Below are 7,034 nucleotides of genomic sequence, written 5' to 3'. Positions count from 1 at the left end.
TAAAAGTGTGTTGCCCATTGGGGGTTTGCCCTGACATCAGTTATAGTTACTTACTTGCCAATCAGCAGATCAAATGTTCGTTCCATGACCTTCTGGATACCAAGTCGATCAATATCTCTCATGGAAAAATACTGGATATCATAGTTCTTTAAAATAAAACTGTGATGAGATATAAAGGGAGGAGTCCTTAGTTTAAAGAGCATTTTTAACAAATATGTATTTGGGGGAGAGGGTGGGTTTGTTGTAGTGACCTGCAATAGACCAAGTTAAGCATCAGCCTTTCAAATAGAACATAATTGGCTAGGACAGGCCCTAAACTTCAGCCAAATGCATCAACTTACTGTTCAGGAGGGTCCACGTCTCTCAGACCAATATACACAATACTTGCAGAAGAGATACAAGGTTTGATCCAGGAAAATCCTGGGAGTTGTGGTACCTATGAAAGGGAGAAATGGACAGGATTAATCAAGAATTCTTGTTCTCACCAAGATCATTATCATGTGCGTCCGTGGGTATGCAATCTGCTTTCTTCTGCCACCCACAGGGTAAGTTTAGAGCAACACAGGACACACTTGATCTGGGAAGGAGAAGTGACACAAGGTGGAAATGTTTCAGAAGGGCAGCTGAGGAACACAGTATTGCTTTCTCAAGACGAATAAAATCTCTAAGGTTGTCTTGGTTTCTCATTAACTTACCTAGTAGCAGGAATACTGCTGATTAGCCCTTTTCTATCCCATTGCACATTACTGACTTGTTTACAGATTGGTTCTTGAAGCATAACCTGGTTGCCATCTCAAGTTGCCAACAGCCGACACAGGACTTCCGCCCAATGAATAATCTTTGTAGTGTCCTGGTTTGACTTGGTCCCTCACTGAGGGGAGGGATATACAGATTCTAGTCTGTGCCTAACATGGACTCCCATATATTCTGAACTGCTCAGGAAAATATTACCCAGAGGTCATGGTTTTATTTGTCTTCTAGATCAGTGTGTCTGAGAGTATGGCCTGGGAGCCTCTAACCAAGAAGTCCTCAGGCTGTGGGTATATCAGTCGCTATTGTTACTACCCCCTCCTTGCTTTCTTACAAAGAACAGAGACTATGTCTAGTCTTTATACCCCTAGCATCTGGCAGACTGCCTGGTCCATAATAGTGATGAACAAATGAAGGAGTGGTAATCCACACTCAACCCACCCTTCACCAAAATCTTAACTGAACTAGACCAACTCCAGCAAAACCCTGCAAGCCATTCACCTTTCTTTTCGTTTTGGCCCACTGACCTTATCCTGTAGTTCTCTGAGGAGAAATGAAACTGGCTGTCCATGGAGATTTCCTGATGAAGTGGTAAGGGGTGTGTTGATGTCAGCATGGGCATCAACCCAGACAACACAAAGGTCTGGGCAGTGTCGGGCATGGCCACTAATGGTACCGATTGCCAGGCTGCAAAGAACAAGTATAATCTTGAAGGCCCTCTGCTTGGCAAACATGACCGATAACAAACGTCCTCAGCCAAAACAACTTATACTCTCTCCACAGTGCAAAGCCAGGGCCTAGATGGAGACTGGGTTTGGGTGAGGCAAGACCTGTAGTTGTAGTTCTCAAAAATTAATCTTGAGTGATAAAGCCCTAGAGATTCGAAGCTGGTGACTTGCTACCCTGCAGTGTGACAGATGTCACTGCTGTCCTGTCCCCAAATCCGTATAATTTTATCCATTAGCCCTGCTCAGAAAAGAACCTCAAATATTTGTTCAATGAATGAAATCAAGTTAAGCCAGACAAGATGGTGTACACCTGTAATCCTGGCTACTCAGAGGACTGAGGTGAGAGGATCACATGAGCCCAGGGGTTCAAGACCAGCCTGGGCAAAATAGTCACACCCTGTCTCCAAAAATGAAAAAAAAAAAAGAAATCTAGGTAAATGGTACAGTCTATAGGTAACGACTCACCAAAATCTGTAAGAAAAGCTCTTGGAGACATTAACAGGGTAAACCATTAAAGACCTAATTTAGACCACTGAGTAAAAAGATGTATTGCATGTTACCTTATATATATTAGCATGGCATTCAATTTTTTTTTTTTTTTTTTAAGACGGAGTCTCGCTCTGTTTCCCAGGCTGGAGTGCAGTGGCGCAATCTCAGCTCACTACAACGTCCGCCTCCTGGGTTCAAGCTATTTTCCTGCCTCAGCCTCCCGAGTAATTGGGATTACAGGCACATGCCACCATGCCTGGCTAATTTTTTGTATTTTTAGTAAAGATGGGGTTTCAACATGTTGGCCAGGCTGGTCTTGAACTCGACCTCAAGTGATCCACCTGGCTCAGCCTCCCAAAGTGCTAGGATTACAGGCGTGAGCCACTATGCCCAGCCTCAAATATAAGATCTTAAAGTGTATTTCTGTTTTTGCCTTTCCTTGTCCTTGGGCTCTGCTTACATTAGCCAACTGTTCTGTCTCAATTCTAAGAATACACCTGATGAAATAAATGTTGGAAAGCTTCCCAGTAACCAAGGAATTTGACATAGATGGGAAATGCAGCTTAAGCATCTTAGGACTGCAACCATCCTTCTTGGTCAATATAGCATGAGACAGCTATTCTAGGTGCCATGTCCCACACTGGTTGGGTCTTTTGAGGAATAGCATGGTCTAGTGAAAAGGCAGTGGATTAAGTCAGAATACTAGAGTTTTAGTCCTGGAAGAGCTGTGTGACTGAAGACAAACCATCTAATTTCTTTAGATTTCAGTTTCCTTTTCTGTGAGATAGGGATAATAATAATACTTGGCCTGTGTAAATCAGAGTTGCTTTGATGATTAAAGTAGTAATATATGTTAAACTACATAAAAGGAGCAGTGACCTAAAAATGGCTCTTCTTGAAAATGTTCAACAGCTATTCAAGTTATGCACTTATCTCTTCCTCTCTAGAATTTCAGATTGCCTAAGCTTTAACATTGAGCTGGTAAGCAGTAACATGGCTGCAATATAGATAGCCACAGGAAAAGAAAACAAGATCTGTGGTAATCACATTGATCAGTGGTCCCCAAACAGTGAGACTTGACCAGAACTCAGAACAGCAGACAGACTTAATAAATTTCCAGAGACTACACTGAGAAAGGAGGCAGGAGACTTGCCCTCTGGTTGATTTAATTGAATGGCCTAGTCATCTCAGTAGGGAACCTGGGTGTGACCGTTTTCTTCAACCTGAGTCTTTTTTTTTTTTTTTTTTTTTTTTTTTTTTACTCCCAAGGAGGAATCTACCTGCTTCTCCAGATGTAACAAAGATTTCATTTCTGTTCAGTGATCTGAAAAGCTTTCTCAGCACCTCAGGGAAAATAATCACCAGAAGAGTCACACTGGATTTGAATCCCAGCTCTATTTCCTGGTTCTAGTCCTTGGATAAGTTATATTTTCTTTCTTATTTATTTATTTTTAAGAGACCTGATCTCACTGTGTTGCCCAGACTGGCCTCAAACTCCTGGGCTCAAGCAATCCTCCCACCTTGGCCTCCTGAGTAGCTGGGCCTGCAGGCATGCACCACTGTGCCCACCTTGGATAAGTTCTTATATATCTGTCCCTACATGCTTCCAGCAGTAAATGATAAAACCATATCTACCACCTAGCATTGTTAGCAGAATTAACTGAGAATATGTATGGAGTGCTCAATACTCCTAGTACTTCAGTGCCTTCTTCCTACTGAAGACCTTCATTGCTTATTTCAAATCACATTCCCTTGTGAAATCTATTTTAGTCCAGACTGATCTCTTCCTCCTTTGAAATTCTGTAGAATTCAATATTTTTGTTTATTCCATGTATATTTATTTCATCTAGGCCTTAATATATCACAAATTTCCTGCAATCTCTAGCACTGCTGAGAAAATATCAGAACAGTGCTCAATAAAGTACATGCTGATTCAGGAGGAGACAGGATCAAAGGACTGATTGCATGAGTCACTAGGGTCCATATTGTGGAGGCAGAAAATGTATCCACAGCTGGGCACAGTGGCTCATGCCTGTAATCCCAGCACTTTGGGAGGCCTTGGCAGAAGGATCGCTTGAGCTCAGGAGTTCGAGACCAGTCTGGGCAACATGGCCAAACCCTGTCTCTACAAGAAATACAAAAATGAGCCAGGCATGGTGGCATGCACCTGTAGTCCCAGCTACTTGGGAGGCTGAGGTAGGAAGATGGCTTGAGCCTAGGAGGCAGAGGTTGCAGTGAGCTGAGATCATGCCACTGTACTCCAGCCTGGGCAACAGAGCCAGACCCTATCTCAAAAAAAAAAAAAAAAAAAAAAAAAAAGAAAATGTAGTAACATGCCAAAGGGGATTTCTAACAGGTCTATTAGCAGAAATGCTAACAAAAACTTGCACATTCAGCCTATCAATGGATCTTTCTAATTCTCCAAAGTCATAAGATAAGTCTCAAGAAAGCTTTCCAGGAGACAAGCATGTTAACACAGTGCCTAGGAACCTTGCCTAGTATACCTCTGAACTTGCTGTGTCTGAATGTACATATTCTTACTGTGCAATGTGTCATACAAAGAAAACCACAGTGCCCCTTGAGCAGCTCAGGATCTTAGACATTTAAATGCTTGCTGTTCATTTTAATATCTACCCTAAAAATTCTGTAGGGTATTTTTCTCCAGATGAAGAAACAGATAAAGAAGCTAAGTTATGAGCCCCAAGCACCATGTAATCCATCCCCTCACCACGCCTGGCTCCCAGCTTACCTGTGGTCTCCTCCCAGTGTGACACAGCTGTAGCCATCTGACACAGCTCTGCTAACCACCTCAGCCAGTTCCTGGTTGGCAAGACCCACTGAGCGTGGATTCACTATCAGGTTGTTGTAGAGATCATCTTTGGGGACTGGAGTAAAACTCAAATCTCCAAAGTCTTTTAGGTGGCAGCCTGGAAGCAAATGAGGGATGACAAGATGAATTTTCTGTGCTATCTCCAACTCTTAACTAGCCTGGGCCACAATGATAATACGTGACAAAGTACACATCATAATCATTTTGTCACAGTAAAATTTAAAATGTCAAATGATTGTGGGAAGATTATCTCGATCCTATTATGAACAGTTTTGCAGATGTTGGAAACTGAAACTAAGAGATATCGATTGACTTAACCCAACAATAAAAAAATGGTTAACCATTAGACCTCAGATATCCTGGAGTGATAGAGTAGAAATAAAATATCAAAAAGAACCAACAATCTTAAAGAAAATTAAGAACCAACAATTTTAAAGGAAATTAAGTACTATTAATTTAGCAAAAAAATACACAAAGAGAGTCTCATTTTTTTAAACTTTCTTTTTGTAGAAATGGGGTCTTGCTATGTTGCCCCAGCTGGTCTCAAACTTCTGACCTCAACTGATCCTCCCGCCTCATCCTCCCAAAGTGCTGGGATTATGGGCATGAGCCACCTGCCTGGCCAAGAAATTCACATATTATAAACTTTTATAAATAGCCAATCTGAAACATCCTAAAAGAAATATCTAATATTTATTGATTATTTACAAGATCCCAGGCATTGTTCTAGCTGCTTAACATAAATTCTTATTTAAGACTCAAAACAGTTGTGTGAGGCAACTAAAATGTGCCTATTTGGTGGATGAGGAAACTGAAGCAAAGAGAAGTAACCGCCCAAGTTACACAGCTATTAAGTGCCAGAATCAGGATCCAAATCTAGGCCATCTGGCTCCAAAGTTTGTACAGGTTGAGTACCCATTATCCAAAGGCTTGGGACCAGAAGTGTTTTAGATTTTTTATTTTTTTCAGATTTTGGAATATTTGCATTATATATATATTGAGATATCTTAGGGATGGAACTCAAGTCTAAACACAAAACTTGTGTTTCATACACACTTTATACACATAGCCTGAAGGTAATTTTATATAATATTTTAAATCATCTTGTGCATGAAACAAAGTTTGTGTGCATTAAACCATCAGAAAACAAAGGTGTCACTATCACAGCCACCCATGTGGACAATATGATTGTTTGGCATCACCATCTTCCTGACTCTGAATTTATATGCTACTGATAGGCAGTTATTTTCTTACTTTTTCACACATAAGTACTTAAAAGCAGAAAATATGACATACCATTAATACAGTGTGTTCAGGGTAACTTGTAATGTCATATTGGTGCTCAAAAAGTTTCAGATTTTGGAACATTTCCGATTTTGGATTTCTGGATTAGGGACGCTCAACCTCTATCCTTTACTATGCAGTTTGTCTCCTAAGGAATTCCTCATGAGTCCAACACTTTAAGAACTAGTGCTATATTCTCACAGCTTTGAATATTTCCCCACCTAAGTTGGATGCTACATTTAGGATGAGGACTAAATAATCTGACTGTATCAAAAAGGGATCTGAACTATCAGAGAACAGAACATTGACATAGATTATATTCTTAGGGTCCTGGTATTGGTGGGAAAGGGGCAGTAACAAGATAAGACGTGGCGTATCTTAATATTTGCAGAGATTTGTGTTAAAGGTTCGGATTAAGAGCAGCATGGACTCATCATGAATTTAAATTATAATTTTGAGCTCTACCTCTTGAACCCAAACTCAATCCAAAGCCAAAATTCTGAAGAAATATAAAAATTTGAGGAGCAGTGACCATAACAAAAAGCCATGAGGCCAACCAAGGAATTGCCACCGCAAGAGATATTGGAAACAAGACAGAAAACTTTGTCCTATTCTTTTTTTCCTCCCCAGCCCTTGTGTCACCCAGACCTATTCTTAAAGGTGAGATACACCTACAGCAAGAATTCTGTATTTATCTTTTGGTCATTACACTTTAAGAAATAGTCATATAAAAGGCCCCAACCTGGAGAAGATCCAGACAACCAGATAAAAAGGTAGCAGAGCAGGGGTAGGAGGAGAAAAATATGACAACAGGCCAAAGACATTGTGAACCAAGATAAAAATGTGAACCAAATAAAACATCTATAAAAATCTTTTATTTTTTTAAAAAAAGACAAAAAGGTTTGAGTAAAGTCATTATGGACTTCACCAAATCTCAAAATATGGAGAGGATA

At 40.4% G+C, this 7,034-nt stretch overlaps 2 protein-coding genes across 2 annotated transcripts in view; both read right to left on the bottom strand.

Moving 5' to 3' along the window:
- GPHN (gephyrin) overlaps nucleotides 1-7,034 on the bottom strand; it is a 1,227,209-nt gene that overhangs the window by 88,276 nt on the left and 1,131,899 nt on the right. The gene's annotated exons all lie outside the window — the stretch shown is intronic.
- The window catches only part of ARG2 (arginase 2), a 31,789-nt gene that overhangs the window by 4,629 nt on the left and 20,126 nt on the right, over nucleotides 1-7,034 (bottom strand). Inside the window, exons 3-6 of the mRNA NM_001172.4 lie at nucleotides 4,717-4,894; nucleotides 1,278-1,437; nucleotides 342-436; nucleotides 55-159 (exon numbers count right to left, since the gene is read on the bottom strand). Coding sequence (NP_001163.1) covers nucleotides 55-159; nucleotides 342-436; nucleotides 1,278-1,437; nucleotides 4,717-4,894 — 538 coding nt within the window. The remainder of the gene's footprint in view (nucleotides 1-54; nucleotides 160-341; nucleotides 437-1,277; nucleotides 1,438-4,716; nucleotides 4,895-7,034) is intronic.

This window comes from Homo sapiens, chromosome 14 (genome assembly GCF_000001405.40).
Source record: "Homo sapiens chromosome 14, GRCh38.p14 Primary Assembly".
Lineage (NCBI taxonomy): Eukaryota > Metazoa > Chordata > Mammalia > Primates > Hominidae > Homo > Homo sapiens.
The sequence above is the reverse complement of the archived record's forward strand: the minus strand, read 5'-3'. Positions and strand labels throughout refer to the sequence as shown.